General features: G+C 58.1%; 1 long non-coding RNA gene across 1 annotated transcript, besides 5 other annotated features; it reads right to left on the minus strand.

Annotated features, from left to right (window-relative positions):
- Positions 1,179-1,680: an enhancer, noted in NCBI's record as "H3K4me1 hESC enhancer chr17:79438477-79438978 (GRCh37/hg19 assembly coordinates)". NCBI's record gives its function as "activates a minimal SCP1, AML or CMV promoter by ChIP-STARR-seq in naive H9 embryonic stem cells {active_cell/tissue: H9 hESC(naive)}" and the evidence as "EXISTENCE:reporter gene assay evidence [ECO:0000049][PMID:30033119]".
- LINC01971 (long intergenic non-protein coding RNA 1971) lies at positions 10,253-11,194 on the minus strand. Its single transcript, NR_184097.1, has 2 exons — positions 10,910-11,194; positions 10,253-10,653 (listed from the first exon to the last, which is right to left on the minus strand). It is a non-coding gene; the product is annotated as a long intergenic non-protein coding RNA 1971 (long non-coding RNA).
- Positions 13,357-14,007: an enhancer, noted in NCBI's record as "H3K27ac-H3K4me1 hESC enhancer chr17:79450655-79451305 (GRCh37/hg19 assembly coordinates)". NCBI's record gives its function as "activates a minimal SCP1, AML or CMV promoter by ChIP-STARR-seq in naive H9 embryonic stem cells {active_cell/tissue: H9 hESC(naive)}" and the evidence as "EXISTENCE:reporter gene assay evidence [ECO:0000049][PMID:30033119]".
- Positions 13,357-14,708: a biological region, named in NCBI's record as "CRISPRi-validated cis-regulatory element chr17.6006". NCBI's record gives its function as "regulatory_interactions: RAC3".
- Positions 13,911-14,708: a transcriptional cis regulatory region, noted in NCBI's record as "candidate enhancer chr17.6006 targeted for multiplex CRISPR interference". NCBI's record gives its function as "positively regulates RAC3 gene expression in K562 cells {active_cell/tissue: K562}" and the evidence as "EXISTENCE:mutant phenotype evidence [ECO:0000015][PMID:30612741]".
- Positions 14,066-14,475: a silencer, noted in NCBI's record as "silent region_9126". NCBI's record gives its function as "represses an Ori minimal core promoter by ATAC-STARR-seq in GM12878 lymphoblastoid cells {active_cell/tissue: GM12878}" and the evidence as "EXISTENCE:reporter gene assay evidence [ECO:0000049][PMID:35858748]".

Below are 16,907 nucleotides of genomic sequence, written 5' to 3' on the forward strand. Positions count from 1 at the left end.
TTTGCCATGAGTATGCCACATGGTCTCGGGCCTGATGTCGCTGCGGAACTGGGAAAAGCATCTGTTTTCTTACATTCCACATCCCTCTGGTGTCTTTTGCTCCTTTCCTTTGCTGAGACTGAGTTCTCAGGCAGGCTCTATCCTGTGCTTTAGAGTAGCGGGGCCCACTCTGATGGGCGTTTCCTGTCTGTTTTTTGGAGGTTCCCGAGACTGACTGCACCCATTTACAGAAAGGAAAGGCAGGGGATTGACACAGCACCCTAGGCTTCCTGGGCCAACACCTACTGTTCAGGGAAAATCTCCAGTCCTGTCTCCCTGGACAGAGAGGACAGCAGGGTCCCTCACGATACCCAGGGCTGGTGGGGAAACTCAACACCTCCAGCCTATCCCAGATATCCTAGAATCTGTCATCCTGCCAGAATAGGCCTGTGATGTCCCTGTCCCATCAAAGCAGGGGACAGTGCATGCTGGTTCTCAACCCCTGATGACGTGATCTGTTCTTGGCAAGGCCACTTCTTGTTTCCTTCTCTGACAACCATTCCTGTGTCCATCTGCCCATCCATCTGTCCGTCACTTCAACAAGTATTAATACAAACTCAAGACCTACTGTGTGCCAGGCACCAGGATGCAGTGTTGAGAAGATTACACAAAGCCCACACCCCCAAGAAACTCAGAGCCCAGTAGGGAAGAAGGCCAGCACACAGAAGCCCTGGCACCCAGCACACCAGGAACTCCGAGAAGCCACACGAAGGGTACAGGACAGGGCCCTTCCTCAGTACAGAGCAGCTGCAAGCCAAAGAAGCTGGCTCCAGGCCCCCAGGGAGAGGAGCAGTCCTGCTGCCCTTCCAGGAAGCTCAGCCCCTAGTAGAATGCACTTCTGGGGGGCATCCACAGTTGCTTCCTTTAACTAGTTTAATCCGAAGACAAAAGTTGAGCTAAGGCAGCTTGCAGAGAAAGGAAGGACTAGAGGCTTGCTAGGTAGGACTCGTCTTCCACTGGCGTCACCTCAGAAAACAGTGACTCAGAGAACAGCCTCTAGGCCTGGGCCCTCAGCCCCAGGGCAGACTGGCTAGCAGGCCAGTGGGAACTCTGGTCTCACTGAGGCTGGGGCTAGGGGCTGGGACTTCACTGAGAAAAAGTGTTCCAGATGGCAGTGGGGTGGGTTAAACCAGACGCCTCCCAGAGCCCCTCTCCCCTAAGGTTCCCAGCAGTCAGGAGCCTCAGGCTCTCAAACCCTTCCTGCGGTGACGGAATGGTCTAGAAGCCTACTCACAATTTGGTTTGCTGAGAGGGAAAAGTTAAAACCGCCCTTTTTATTTGGGAGCCTTTGAACAAGTTTATGATCTTGCCCCTTGTCAGGAAATCTGTTTTCACTTACAAGAAACAGGCTGGCTCAGGGGCCGGCGGTGAGCAGAGCAGTGAGGGAAGACTCCACACTGACAGGCTAATTATATTTTTCACCACTGGCCCGGTTAGTCCCCACTCTGGTCCTGGGCAAAGCACCCCTGGCCTGGTGCTCCTGGAAGCCCCCACTACGGCCCGTCTTTTTGGGGGGTGGAGTTGGAAAGCCAATCTACAGCGAGGGTGCAGAAGGCCAGAGGTGATGTCGGGGGGCCCGGACAGGAAGGGGACGAGCGCCCACTGCTGCGCAACCAGAGCCCAGGCAGCCTCTGCTCTCGGCTGTGAGCACTGTGGAGCAGCCGGGGATTCTGAAGGATCAGCAGGCAAACAGTGCTGCCCCCAGACACGCAGGGCTCCGAAAAGCCAAAGCCCTCAGAGGGTGTCCGAGGCCACTGTCCCAGGGCCCCAGAAGCTGCAGGAAGAGCCTCCTCTGGGGCAGAGACACGCCATGCACGCACGTGGATCCGAGGACAGCCATGCCACTCTCCGGTCACATGACCCACGCCAGGCCAATCACAACACCTCTGCTTCCTCTGCCACCGTGATTGGCTTTGGGTCGGGCATGTGACATAAGCTGAGCCAATCAGAGTTCACCACTGGGACCCAATGAGCGCACAGCTTTTCCTGCGGCCTCCTGCAGCTAACCCGCCACGTTCTCTTCTCCCAGCGCTGGGCTCTCGCCGCGGCAGAACTTCGGAGTCCAGGATGGGGTTGTAGAGCCTGAGGTGTCATTCACATTGCTGGTGAAGAACAAGTAATTTGTAACAAAAGCATGTTCCATGCAATATCAGGGGTATGCTTATACTAAAAATTATTCATTCTTTATCTGAAATTTAAATTAACCTGACGTCCTGTTTTATTTGTTTAGAGACAGAGAGGGTTTCGCTCTGTCGCCCAGGATGGGGTGCAGTGGTGGGATCTTGGCTCACTGCAGCCTCCACCTCCTGGGCTCAAGCCATCCTCCCACCTCAGCCTCCCAAGTAGCTGGGATTACAGGCACGTGCCAAGCCCAGCTAATTTTTTAATTTTATTTTTTTGTAGAGTTTGGCGGGGGAGGGTCTCGCTATTTTGCCCAGGCTAGCCTCGAACCCTGGATTCAGCCTCCCAGAGTGCTGGTATTACAGGCATGAGCCCCGCACCCAGCTTTGTATTTTATTCATTAAATCTGGCAGCCCGCCTTCACAACGGCGGTTGACCTTGAAAGCCAGCTGTCCAACATAAAGTGGGTCTCCCCAGCCCACCTGGCTGCACGCAGCTGCACCCAGTCATCCATCACGGGGCAGAAAGAGCCCATGCAGGCCCTTAAGGCTCAGGAAGCTGCTGGAGGCCACTCCTGCTACACTGACCCTCCCTCACCTCAAACCCATGGCCTCTGCGAAGCCTCATCACCTGTTGACCGAGGAGGCAGCAGCCTCCTTTACAGAGCCAGCCCCAGCCCCAAGTGGATGGCTGCACCCTCACAGCCCCACCTTGCAGGACAACCCTCCCAGAGTGCAGCACATTGAGTGGACGTCTCCATGTTCAAGGCCGAGGCCTACAGAGTCCTGGGCAGTGCCTGGGCATCTGGCCAAACGTGAGGGACTTGGAAAAAACACAGGGCAAACCAGTCGGGGACAGGAGTTGGAGGAGTTCGAGGAAGAGGAGGGTCAGCAGGCATTTGGGCTGTGGCTGGAGGCTGAGCATGTGTAGGCCCGTGTGAGCCCACCAGAAGCCCCACTGCAGAAGAGTTTTTCAGAGTCAGGTGGGCACATGACCCACCCGGGGGTGCCCATCACCTCCCTCCCCCCCAGCCAATCTGCAGCTCACCCCACGGGCTCGCAGTGTGCAGAGAGGAAGGTCAAGCACAGGCACTCCCTCTTGAAACGGCCCTCCCTGTGGCTGGTCTGGATTCCCACTGAGGAAGGCTCAATTGTAGAAGCCACAACGGACCTGAAATCCCAGCAGGGTGCCATGCTTCACGGGCACCTGGCAGTGCTGTGGGGCACATTGATGACTTTGGTCCCTTCCGTTATGGCATGGGCAGCAACTTGTCCTCATCAGGAATAAGCTCTGCTCTGGATGAGGTCATGCCATGGGCCTAGAGAACCTCTAGACCTGCTCAGGGAACCCCACCCTGCCCCTGCAACCAAGGAACTCATTTCCAGGCACAAGCACAGCCAGGAGCTAAGTCACAGCCATTCCCCATCTCACCCTCTGTCCCTGGCATCTGCAGCCCAGGAGCCATGCAACCTGGTTGGTCTGAGGCAGGGCACCCCACAAGCCAGGAAAAGCTCCAGTCCTGGCTTCAGGAGGCAGGAGTTGGAGGAGGAGTTTCAGCCTCTCACTGTCACACTAGTGCCCTTAAGCTCTGCCTCCCGTCCTGACTCAGAGCTGCACTGGTCTGCCGTGCAGCACCCACGGGGAGACATCGTTACAGCCCAGGGATCTGGAGCCATTTCATGTTCCATGGGCCACAAGGTGAGTAGGAGAAAGAGGGTGTGTGGTTGCCATTCCGGCCTGCAGTTGGGCAAGGAGACGGGTGGAGCTGGGGACCTCAGAACGTACACCTACGACATGCTGATGCACTGGCGGGAGACCTCTGCAACCCCAAGAGGGCAAGAGCCACAGGGGCTCAGACACCCCAGGAATAAAACTGGGACCAGGCACAGTGGCTCCCGCCTGTAATCCCAGCACTTTGGGAGGCCAAGGTGGGCGGATCACGAGGTCAGGAGATTGAGACCATCCTGGCTGACATGGTGAAACCCCATCTCTACTAAAAAATAGAAAAAAATTAGCCGGGCCTGGTGGCTGGCGCCTGTAGTCCCAGCTACTCGGGAGGCTGAGGCAGGAGAATGGCGTGAACCCGGGAGACGGAGCTTGCAATGAGCCAAGATCGTGCCACTGCACTCCAGCCTGGGCGACAGAGCGAGACTCCATCTCAAAAAAAAATTTTTTTTAAAAGTTCGGTCATCCCACCAGGGAAAGAAGCCACCTGTGCGAGGCTCTTGCTGGAGACGAGGGCAGCGGTGGTAAGGTCAGGAGTGAAGGCAATGCCGATACCAGTGGCAGCTTGGGGCCCCCAGAGGAAAAGGAGGGCGCCTCGACTTTCTTGCCTGGGGCTATGTGCTTTCTATTTTATTTTCTTTCCTCTTCTTCCCCTGCTGTTGGGTGTCAGGTAGGTTAGCAGTGGGTAGTTCCAGCGTCCACTCCACAGCTGCAGACGCCCGGCAGACCCTCACCCGAACTCAGGAAGGTGGACATCCCAGACAGCAGGCACAGCTGAGCCGCCCAGCTCATCTCCTGGGGGGAAAGGGAGTGTTTTTATTGATCATCAGATGGCTGCACGGTGCCCTGGAGTCGTGGGAGTGGGTCAGGGGAAATGTGTGGCTCCCACGGGGGCCGAGTGTGGCCCCCGCTGCCGTGTCTGCCCCAAGGCCTTCCTGCCACCTTCTCCTGGTAACAGATGCCCCTGTTTCGTGCTGGAACTGCCCTCACCTGACCCACGTGGTTCTAGTAGAGTTGTTACCCGACCCCCGGGCCTGGACGATCACACGGCCGTGTCCCCTGGCCCAGGGGAGCAAGCCCTTTCCTGGAATGAGGAAGGACCCTGCACTCCTACTCGGTAGCCACACTGGAAGCGAGCCGACCTGGCCCTGTCTGAGCCATGCCCCCATTCTCCTCCCCTATTCCCCTTGAAGAATAGGGAAACACGTGTTTGCAGTGGAGAAGCAGAGGCCAACACACACAGGGAGAAAGAGCAAGGGACAGAAACACAGAGACAAGTGGAAAGACAGACAGAACCCTGACGACAGCTGGGTCCTCGGAGGCTCAGAGGCCCAGAGGCCCAGAGGCCCACGCCGCCCAGGCCTTTCCGGCCATAGCTTCCTTTTGTGCTGACGGCGTTTGAGCTGATTCCTTCAGTTAGAATCCTAAGGGTCTTGGTGCTCTCAGCCCCTGCCCTGCACAGAGTAGCGATGGATCCACTGCCCCTGGTGACAGTGTGTGCTCTGAGTGTCTCTGGGTTCCCGGGGCCCCACAAACACTGTGGTGGCAGGTGGGAACGACTGAGGCCTGACGAAGGGGGACGGGAGTCCTCCCCCCCGAGTACCCACAAGTACCCAACACAAAGACCTCCTCAAAAGACTGGACTGGACACTCCTCCATCAGCAGGGTCTACCTCACTGATCCAGTATGAATGACGGCCCAGCCACTCAGCCAGGGAGGTGAGCAGGGCCAGTAGCAGCACAAAACCCACATTCCGTCCTGTTCCATACGTGTGTGAGTGAATGCAGCCCTTGTGCATGCATAGAAAACGCTCTGGGTCGGGTGCAGTGGTTCATACCCATAATCCCAACACTTTGGGAGGCCAAGGTGGGAGGATCACACCCAACTCTGGTGCTGGGGAGGATGCTATCCTTGGGCCCAAATGGGGCTGAGGGCAGGATAGAGGGCAGTGGCAGGTCCAGCCTCTTCTCTCCTCGGCCTGGGCTTCTGCGTGAGGCAGGGGGCTGCCAGTGTTGAGGGCACACCTGGCCATCCAGAGCGTGGCCACCCTGTGGTGGGTCCCTGCTGTGCCTGCTGTGCTCCAGGAAGATGGGAAGGGGTCTGTGGCCACACCTGTGTGCTGCTTAAGGTGGTGACGTCACAGCCTTTTTCATCCAGGGACCCGGAAAGAAGGAGTGTCTCGGGGAAGACAGCAGTGGGGGCCTCATGGTCTGGAGCCCTCTCCCCACCAGATAGATGGAAGTTCTGGAATGTTCCTAGCCGGTTCTGCTTCTCTTGGCCTGCCTCTTGCTGTGGGCCCTCAGGCAGGCCACTGGCCTTCCTGAGACCTGATTTCCTTGTCCATGAAAATGACATGGAAGGTGACAGCAGCAGGATGGCTCATGGGAGACGTGGCTGAGCACTGGGCCTGCTGGCGCCTCTTCTCCAGCATCAGCTCTTCCTTTCCAGTTACCGGGGGTGGGGGGGAACTATATTGCCCAGTACCTGTCCCCGCTTTTTCCTCAGTAACAGAGCCCCAACTCGTAACTGGGCACCTGGCCATTAAGAGTGAAAATTACATTTCCCAGCGTGCCTTGCAACTAGATGCAGCCATGTGTCTGAGTTCTGGGCAACGAGGGTGAACAGCAATGTCACGTGCAGCAGAAAGTATCCTTAAACATAAGGCTGTGCTCTTCCTTCCTGCTAGTTGGAATGTAGGTGTGATGGCTGGATCCTAAGCAGCTATTTTGGATCATGAGAAAGAAGCCACAGTGAAGGATGGCAGAGCAACAAGCTAGAGGAGCCAGGGTTCCTGATGATCCTAGAGGCATCAGAGTGGCCCTGGAGGCCTTAAGTAAAAGAATAAGAAACATCCCCCTTCCTTAAGTCACTACGACTTCTGTGCTGTTTCTGTGAAGCCTGAATCTAATCCTGATGTCTATGTTGGTTACCCATCAGTCTACCCTCAGTCTCTTTGGCTCTTCTCTGTGACCAGCCCTGCTGGCCCACACCCAACATCCACTCTCCACTTCTCCCTGCTCTCGTTCTGCTGGGACCCCCCCTTTGAGGGTCCCACTCTCCACTTCTTCTCCCCCCCGCCGTTCTGCTGGGACCCCCCTTTGAGACTCCCAGGGCCCTGTGGTCTCTGAGGTTGAGGTCTACTCTCAGCTTGATGTTGCTGCCAAGCCAGCCCCTCTCACAGCACAGAGCGCTCAGCACAGCCTGTAATTATGTATTTATTGTGGGTTTATTTGATTGCTGCCTCCCCAGGACTGTCACTAATGTGAGGGCAGGGCCCCTGCCTGGTATTCACATGATATCCTCAGCTCCCGGCTGGGGGTCTGGGCTCAAGCAGGTACCCAGTGAACCCTGGGCAGGTGAACCTCGTCCTGGTGAGTGCTGACTCCGTGACCCACCACCCTCCCCACCCCTTCCTCGGCTACCCCGGCCCCAGCCACTCCTGTCCCTCTCTCTACCCTCCCCCAATGCCCAGAGTCCCCCTCCCAGCCCTTTTCTTCCACCCCATTGTCTTCTCTGCCCCCTTCCTGACCTTGCATTGAGGCTGCAGGCCTCGGGGCCTTCCAGTGACCCACACCCAGCCACGTTTCATTTTCTGAACTTGGGTTTCAAACATGAGGAAGGAACTGAGGCTGGTGTTCCAGGAGCGGCCCCAGCGCTTGCTGGTGGCTGTGTGGGGGCACAGGCCCCCCAGTAAGTCTCCCATCCACAGGGGCATCAGAAGGATGGAGAGGTAGAGTGTCTCCCCCACCCCCCGATTGGCCTATAGGAAAGGACAGACAGTCCCCAGTGCTGGCACCATGTGGGGCAATCAGAACCCACCCACACTGCGGGTGGGAGCAGCGGTCAGGACAGTGGCTTGCAGAGCTAGCAGTGTCTGCTAACATCCACCAGAAACCCCCACTGTCGGGCACAAGGAGACACACACTAGAATGTTTGTAGCAACACTATTCACAGACTTTGGAGATAATCTAAATGTCTGTCAACAAGAGACTTGGTAGATAAAGTGTTACATCCATACAATGGACTACAACACAGCAACGCAAGAGAACAACCACAGACACACGCAGGACGCAGCAATGCAGTGAGCACGGGCAGCATTGTGTGGCGTGAAGGCGCCAGCCTCGGAGAGGACGGCTGTACAGCTCTGCTGGCGCGGACTAAGGATCAGGCAGAGCAGTCTCCGGGATGGGTGGCAGAGCGCTCCTGGGCTTGCATGGGAGGGGGCACGAGGGAGCCTCTAAGGGCTGGGAGTTCTCTGGACCGGGCTGGCGGTTGCACGGATGTGCACGAATGTGAAAGTCCAGTGATCTGCAGCTTAAGATTGGTGCACCTGGCCAGGCGCGGTGGCTCACGCCTGTAATCCCAGCACTTTGGGAGGCCGAGGCAGGCAGATCACGAGGTCAGGAGATCCAGACCATCCTGGCTAACACAGTGAAACCCCATCTCTACTAAAAATACAAAAAAAGATTAGCTGGGCGCGGTGGCGGGTGCCTGTGGTCCCAGCTACTCGGGAGGCTGAGGCGGGAGAATAGGGTGAACCCGGGAGGCAGAGCTTGCAGTGAGCCGAGATTGTGCCACTGCACTCTAGCCTGGGCGACAGAGCAAAACTCTGTCTCAAAAAAAAAAAAGATTGGTGCACCTACTTCACTTTTTTTTTATTTTTTTATTTTTTTGGAAACAGAGTCTCACTCTGTTGCCCAGGCTGGAGTGCAGTGGCACGATCTCGGCTCACTGCAAGCTCTGCCTTCCGGGTTCACGCCATTCTCCCGCCTCAGCCTCCCGAGTAGCTGGGACTACAGGCACCCGCCACCACGCCCGGCTAATCTTTTGTATTTTTAATAGAGATGGGGTTTCACCGTGTTAGACAGGATGGTCTGGATCTCCTGACCTCGTGATCCACCTGCCTCAGCCTCCCAAAGTGCTGGGATTACAGGCGTGAGCCACCGCGCCCGGCCTTTTATTTTATTTTTTGAGACGGACTCCCTCTATTCCCCAGGGTGGAATGCAGTGGCGCAGTCACGGCTTACTGCAGCTTCTTCCTCCTTGGGCTCAAGCAGTCCGCCCACCTTGGCCTCCCAAAGTGTTGGGATTACAGGCATGATCCACCACCCCCAGCCCGGATCCCAGTTTTTGATGTCGGTGGAATTGGAGATGGCAGGCAGGGCCATCTGTGTGCCAGCTGTGGTTGATTAGCAGGGGCTGCCTGGAGAATGATCTGAGGGCCCGAGGCCACCGCTGGGCTCCGTGGGAGAGAGTGGCTGATGGATTAGTGATGTCTGCCACATGCGCTGCAGGAACGAGAGGCAGCCTCCATGTCCCTGAAAGACGGCCATCCTCGCACTAACCTCACAGCCCCCCACAGGCAGCTCACTCCAGCCAAGCCCACCACCACCTCCTCAACTGCAACAAATGCTTATAATGACAGCTCATGTATATTTATCGAGCCTGTAATTACCAAGACAGTGTGCTGCACGTCACCTACATCCCCTCACCCTGCCCAACAACCCTATCATCATCGCCATACCACAGGCGGAGAAGCCAGGGACAGGGGTGCCTCGCCCCAGCCTCCTGATGCCTGCGGCAGAGGCCCAGCTGTGCACAGCCACACTCCCCCGGATGCCACGTCCCTGATCCCCATGGTGGCACCTCCTTGCCCCCTGCTTTTCTTCAGCTTCTCCACCACTCCTACTCCTCCTTGCCCTTCAAAGCCACCTCAAGTGCCACCCCCTCTCTCCTCATTATCCAAGAGTCCTCCCCCTCCTGAGCCTCTCAGGGGACCTGGGCCCGAGCCACCTTATCAGGAACTTGTGCATGGCTGCAGTGTTGGGTCACACATGTCTCCAAGTCTGAACTACATCCTTTCTTCCTTGGGCTCCTGGGGCTAAGCCCAACCTGGCAGACAAAGGCTCCCCTGAGAAGGTTTGATGAGTGAATACATGTCCCCTGCCTCAGAGGGAAGCCCCCATCTCAGGCCTCACACGGGCAGATTCATCCTCCTTCCAGATACAGGCCCCATGAAGGGGCAACAGCAAACAGGATCAGTCCCTGCCCTGGGGAATTACAGTCCCAGCAGTGGCTTGTGACAGCTGCCAAGATGGGCAAGCATTGGAGCATCCAGGAGGACCCCCAGGAAGAGGGCCTGAACAACACCGTGCACGTGCGCTGACACGGGGCATTCCTCGTCCTCAGTCCTGCCTCGTTTTGTGACTCATCACTTTCAGGATGGGAAACCCTCCAAGGAAGGTCCCCTTGGCTCTGGGGTGGCTCCTAGTGGATCTGCAAGAGGCGGGGCCCAGCCTGGTCGTGCCCCATCTTAGGCTGCCTCTGCATGGGCTACACATCCACAAAACAAAGCAAAACAGCAACATTTTCTACGATGCTTTTATTCACACTTCAAAACAGGTGCTGGACATCTTCCCATTGCCCCATGCCAGCCCCTGCTCTGTGCCCCGGGAAGCTGACTGTAGGTACAGGATCCATGGGGCCTCGTTGCTCCCTGGCCTCCACCTAGTTCAGCCAATGCGTAGCCGGTAGACAAGCCAAGCGGTCAGGAGGGGTGAGGTCAGTGTACAGCAGCAGCTCCTCCCTGCCGGGTCGCTGTGTCCCTCTCCAAGGTCAGGGCTCCTGGAGACGGCCTCTCCTGTGGCTCCAGCTGCCCTCCAGGTCTCAGGGGGTAACAGCTCCCCTTTGTTGCTGGCCCTGGGTACTGCACAGCTCTCCTTTAATTCACGTATTTTCCATTTATTCAATTCTCCTCAAATACCCTGTCTGAGGGTGCCATAAAAATGTAAGACTGTGTCAATTGCCCATATCAAAAAACATGCTTGTACGTTCCACTTGAAGTAGTTTGGAGGGGAGACTAATGGAAACTAGGGGGAGGCTAGCCCCCAAGCCTCCGCTGAGGCCACCGCTGTCTGTGTCCCGAGGGCCCTGGAGTAGGAGGTGTCAATGACGGACTCAATGAATGAATGAATTGATCCCACCACCACCAGCGGCAGGCCCGCCTCTTCCTTCCACAGCCCACCTTGGCCTCCCCGCCTCGCCAGGTGGCAAGGCCTTCGCTCCTGGTCCCTGAGCGCCGCTCGCTTCCCTCCCGCGTGGGCAGGGGGCAGCCGCGACGCCGGCCCAGCGCCTCCGAGCCGGGAACCGCACAGCACCCGGCGATGGCCCCGAGCCCCGCGCGCCCGAAGCCACGGCGCCGCTCGCTGGGGGCCTCGGGACGGCAGGGACGGCTGGGGGTGGCGCGGACCGCGTCCCCGAGGCGCGTAGCGCGCGATCGAACCACGCGCCCCGCCCGCTGCGGTCCTCTAACAGCCCCTCGCGCCGCCCCACGTGGGGCCGCACGGGCTGGCGGCCCCCTCACCCGATTGGCCGCCGCACAGCCAATCAGAGAGCGGAGGCGATAGCGGCCGCGCCGATTGGCTGCGGCGGGCCGGCCCGGGGGAGGGGGCGGGACCCCTTTTGTTCTCTCCGCACCTCCGGGTTCGCGCGACTGTGAGCGCCCCCGCCCCGGAGCAGGGGTCCGCGCTGGGGGTCCGGAGGGCGGGGGCGCGGCCCGACGCCCCACCCCCAGCTTGTTCACTGCCGCCAGGGCCCAGCGCCTGAAGCGCGGGTCCTTCGCTGGGACGAGCGCTTTCATCTCCGTCCCTCAGTTTCCCTCCCCTTGTCTTCTCCCTGTGTCCTGGGAGTTATGGGGAAGCTCAGCCCTTGGCAAATGAGCTTGGGACCTTCCTAAAACCTAAGCCAATGATAGGCCCGATCTTGCCTGAGAGGGGCACGTGAGAGACCCCCAAGCTGGAGAGGCAGATGTCCTGGTAACTCTAACCTGAGACCGTTTTCAGGGTGAGCCTTCTCCTAATCACGGCTGGGGCGTCTTCGTCCAAGGTGGGGCTGGATGGGGGTGGGCAGAGGCCCCCACAGTCACAGCCTGGCCAGCTGTGCAAATGCTCCCCTAAACCGTCCCCCGCTTCAGTCACTCAGCCAACCAATCAATCGCAGGGGCCTCCCTCTGGGGTGGAAAGTGGTGGCCCCAGGGACCAGGGACCTTCACAGGGAGAGAGGGCTGTGGTCCGGGCAGGGGCGTCAGGGGTTCAGCCTGGGTCTCCTGACCTCCAGGCCCACGTCTTCCCTTAGACAACACCTGAGAGCATCTCCCAGCGTGGCTGTGGCCACACACATCCCTGGGAGTAGGACGGGCCACCGCGCTGAAGCTGTGGATGCAGGGCTCCCAATCTGTAGGCGAGGGGCCTCTCCCCTGCAGGGGACAGGATCAGGACCCTGGGAGCCCTCAGTCCCCCTCCCAGCACTGATTACCTGGAAAACCCCCCGAGCCCAGGTTGATGAAGAAGGTGGGACCCTGACAGTGAGTGGCCTGAGCCTGGGATGGTAGCTTGACCTCATCTCCAAGGTCATCCTCCCAGACCTGGGAGTCTAAAAACATTAAATCCTTCAGAAGGACATATTTGCATCAGATCACTGTTCAGAACGCCACTGGTGCCATTCACGGAGCAGTCCCTGGGCTGAAGTGGCTGCTCTGGTCTGGTGAGCGGGGGCACCCACGCGAGCTCCCAGGCCCAGAGGCCTCCCCCAGATCCTGGTGTTAGTGGCCCATGGAAGGACTCCCAGCCCCAGAGGCTTGGCAGGTGTCTGCGGCTCCCCAGGGGTGGGGTGCTGGGAGGCTGACATCTGTGGAGTGTTTTTACTGTTGAACAAATTGAATCAATTAAACAGGCCCCATCGGGGTGGCTGGGAGCGGTGAACAGGAGGAAAGAGGGGAGCGGAGCCAAGAGGACAGCCTGAGGGCGTCTGTCTCCCCAGGCGGGGTTCAGACGCACCTCTTTCCCTGAATGTTCCAGGGCAGGAGACCCCCCGTGTTGACAAGAGGGAGGTGAGTTAGTGGAGGGGGAGTGGGAGGAAAGTCAGTGGGGACTGTCCCTGTTGTGTGTCCCCTGAAAGCACGCCAAGGCCTGTGTCTCCTACCCAGCCACCTCTGGGCTTCTCAGCCCCCAGCCCTGTGATGACCCTTTGGACATCCCAGCCTCCTTTCAAAGACATTTTATTGCTCTCACAAGGAGGCCTCCGGAAGCTGGGAGGCTCCAGCAGAGAAAGAGAGGAGGCTGCCTAGGGAGGCTGGAGGAGGCAGAGAGGAAAGAGGAAACATTGTGGGGGTAATAGCAAGGGCCCCGGGTCACCCACCTGGAGCGGAAGCCTCCCCCTCGGGCAGGCTGAGAATGACGCAGGCGCCGGCTGCTCTGTGACCCAGCTGACCGAGGGACAGCCCCTGCCTGGGAGCTCCAGCAGCTGCTGCAGCGTCCCTCCTGCCCAAGCAAGGGCCGCAGGGCCACCCCTCCAATCCGTCCCCAGAGGTCCACTGCCGCTGCCTCTCCTCCAGCTGCCGCTCAGGGGAGCGAGGTTTCTTGAGTCAGGCCACCGGCAGCGGGCGGCCAGCCCCTCTCAGCATGGCGCTTGCCCAGGGCCTGGGCTCCGTCACATGCCAGGACAGTGGTCACCGTCACCCTGGACAGACCACCTCTGTCCCTTTATGTCAAGTGACCATTATTGGGCCCCCTGAGGCAGACGAGCGTCTCACCAGTAAGCTCCCAGGGAGGACGGCGTGGTCAGGACCTGCCCATCCGCCAGCACTCTGGCCTCTAGGCCCGCAGGCTGAGGGCACCGGCGGGCACCAGAACAGGGGCTGGTTTGGCCGAGGGACCTGCTTCTTGGGCAGCACCAGGAAACAGCCGGAGACCCTCCCAGCGCCCACATCCATGGCGTGAGCCCCGCGTGGGTGCAGCCCCTTCCGCAGCCCGAATTCCAGGCCAGCCGCTGCAGGAGGGACCGCCAGCCAGGGGCGCAGGGCAGAGGGTGGGGGAAGGCGTGGCGCTCGCGCTCTCGGCTCTTGCTTGGATGGCGCCGGCTGAGGACCCCCACACCTGCGCTGCGGTGCAGAGGTCTTAGGATCCGAGGGGGCTGCCGGTCTGGGCCGGCGCGTTCAGGCCCCGGGCGGTGGGGCGGCCTCGGCGTGCGTGGCTCGGTTGCCTGCAGGCAGGCACGCGGCGCTGTGAGAAACGAACGTCCGTGACTTAGCCCACGGGACCGTTTCTGCATTTTCACCCCAACCTGGAGAGCTGCAGCACAGCCGCGGGACAGGAAGTCGCCGCCAGGTGGGTCAGGACTGCGACCTGAACTCGGCTCTGCGGCCTCCCGCTCCGGCCGCCGGTTCGCAATCCTGGCGTGAACCAGCAGATCAACCTCCGGCGCCCGCCACAGGCGCCCTCCCGCGGGAACCGGCAGGCAGGAGCGGTGCGGGGGCGCCCTCCAGCGGCCGTGGCCGGGATGGCGGCCTCCTGCCAGGCTCCAAGCGTGGCCGCGTGGGCAGCGCGCGCAGCCCGCCACGGAAAGACAGGCGCTCCTCCTGGGTGGGCCTTGGGACCCCTTCGCGCCCTGTGTGGCCGCCTCGTGGTGAGCACCCCCGCCCCTCCCTGCAAGGCCGGTGTTCCCAGCTGGAAGGGCAGGCAACCTGGGAACCAGAGGGAGCTGCTCTGGTTGGGAGGAAAAAGCCAGCTCGGTTCCCGCCTGAGCCCCGAAGGGGCGGGGCTGGGAAGGGGGCCTGGCCAGAGGGAAGGAGCACTCTGGGTTGGGGGTGCTGGGGGAGCACAAAGGCAGGAACTGGGGAGCATAAGGCCAGGAGATAGGGGAGAACCTAGGCAGGAGCTGGGGGAGCAGCCAGGCAGGAACTGGGGAGCATCGATGCAGGAGCTGTGTCGCGTGTTATCCCCGTCACGTGGAGTTGTGTGTCCTGCGAGGAGCACAGCATTTCAGGGCCTAGAGCCCCTCTCTGTACTGGAGCCGCCTGTGTGTGTCCATTCCGAATGAGCCATACTTCCCTCGCAGCTCTCCCAGTGGGATTGAGAACTGTTAGGCACACACCTGGTGAAGCATTGCTGCCCTTTCTGTTGGGGAGAAGCGGCCTTCTAGCGCAGAGAATAGCTGCTTCCTGGAACTGAAATCCTGCCGCATCCAGACCAAGAGCATGCTTGGAGCAGGCATCAGTGCACACACTGCTTCCGAAATTACAGCTATAAATTTTAAAAAAATTTTTTTTTCAAGGCAGGGTCTTGCTCTGTGGCCCAGGCTGGAGTGCATTTGCACCACCATGGCTCATGGCAGACTCAACCTCCCTGGCTCAAGCCACGCTCCCACCTCAGCCTCCCAAGTGGCTGGGACTACAGACACATGCCACCACACCTGGCTAAATTTTTTTTTTTTTTTTTTTGAGACAGAGTCTCACTCTGTCACTCAGGCTGGAGTGCAGTGGCGCAAACTCTGCTCACGGCAAGCTCCGCCTCCCGAGTTCACGCCATTCTCCTGTCTCAGCCTCCCGAATAGATGGGACTACAGGTGCCCGCCACCACGCCCAGCTAATTTTCGTATTTTTAGTAGAGATGGGGTTTCACCGTGTTGGCCAGGATGATCTCGATCTCCTGACCTCATGATCCACCCGCCTCGGCCTCCCAAAGTGCTGGGATTACAGGCGTGAGCCACCACGCCCGGCCTAGTTTGGGCAAGTTACATTTTTTTTTTCTTTTTTGAGGCTGAGTCTTGCTCTGTTGCCCAGGCTAGAGTGCAGTGGTGTGATCTTGGCTCACTGCAACCTCCACCTCTCGAGTTCAAGGGATTCTCCTGCCTCAGCCTCCCAAGTAGCTGGGATTACAGGCACCCACTATCACACCTGGCTAATTTTCTTATATTTTTAGTAGAGACAGGGTTTCACCATGTTGGCCAGGCTGGTTTCGAACTCCTGACCTCAAGTGATCGGCCCGCTTCGGCCTCCCAAAGTGCTGGGATTATGTGGGCATGAGCCACCATGCCTGGCCCATAATTTTTTAAACTGTGATACATTTTGCCATTTTAACCATTTTTAAGTGTACACTTCAAAGGCATTGAGTACATTTACCATGTTGTGAGACTCTCAACACTATCCGTCTGCAGAACTTTTTTGTCATTCCAGAGACTATCCATTAAGCACCAACTTCCTTTTCCCTCTCTCCCCAGCCCCTGGCCTTGCCCTCTCCCCCCAACCCCTGGCAACCTCTTACCTACTTTCTGTTTCTGTACTTGCCTATTCTAGATGTTTTATAAGTGGAATCAGACAGACGTTGTCCTTTGTGACTGGCTCATGTCACTTAGCATAATGTTTTCAGGCCATCTGTGCGTGGTGTGCGTCAGAATTTCCTTCCTTTTTAACGTTAAATCATAGTCCATTGTATGGAGGGACCACATTTGTTTCTCTATTCATTTATGGATGGAAACGTGGGTTGTTTCCACCTTTTCTCTGTGGTGAGTATCGTTGTGGTCAACATTTGGAATAACTCGTGTTGAGCACACTGTTCGTGTTCCTGCCCCTAGTTCTCTGGGTGTGTGGCTGCGCGGAACTGCTGGGTAATTCTACCCTTCGCTCTTTGAGAACCGCTAATGTGTTTTTCACGGCGCATGCATTGTATGAGAGCTCCAGTTTCTCCACATCCTCACCAACGCTTACTGTTTTTATTATTGTTCTTGTTATACAGCTTTCATTTTTATAAAAAGCAATTTTTTTTTTTGAGACGGAGTCTCACACTGTCACCCAGGCTGGAGTGCAGTGGCACGATCTCGGCTCACTGCAATCTCCGCCTCCCAGGTGAAAGCGATTCTCCTGCCTCAGCCTCCCAAGTAACTGGGATCACAGGCACCCGCAACCACGCCTGGCTAATTTTTTGTATTTTTAGTAGAGGTGGGGTTTCACCGTGTTAGCCAGCATGGTCTCAATCCCCTGACCTCGTGATCCGCTCACTTCAGACTCCTAAAGTGCTGGGATTACAGGCGTGAGCCACAGCCCCCGGCCCAAAAGCAGTATTTTCGTACAAACAATATACTAACGCTAACTGAAATAATTAACAAATTACAGATTAAAAAAAAATTTTTTTTTCTTTTTTTGAGACAGGGTCACTCTGTCGCCCAGGCTGGAGTGCAGTGGCACCATC

This window comes from Homo sapiens, chromosome 17 (genome assembly GCF_000001405.40).
Source record: "Homo sapiens chromosome 17, GRCh38.p14 Primary Assembly".
Lineage (NCBI taxonomy): Eukaryota > Metazoa > Chordata > Mammalia > Primates > Hominidae > Homo > Homo sapiens.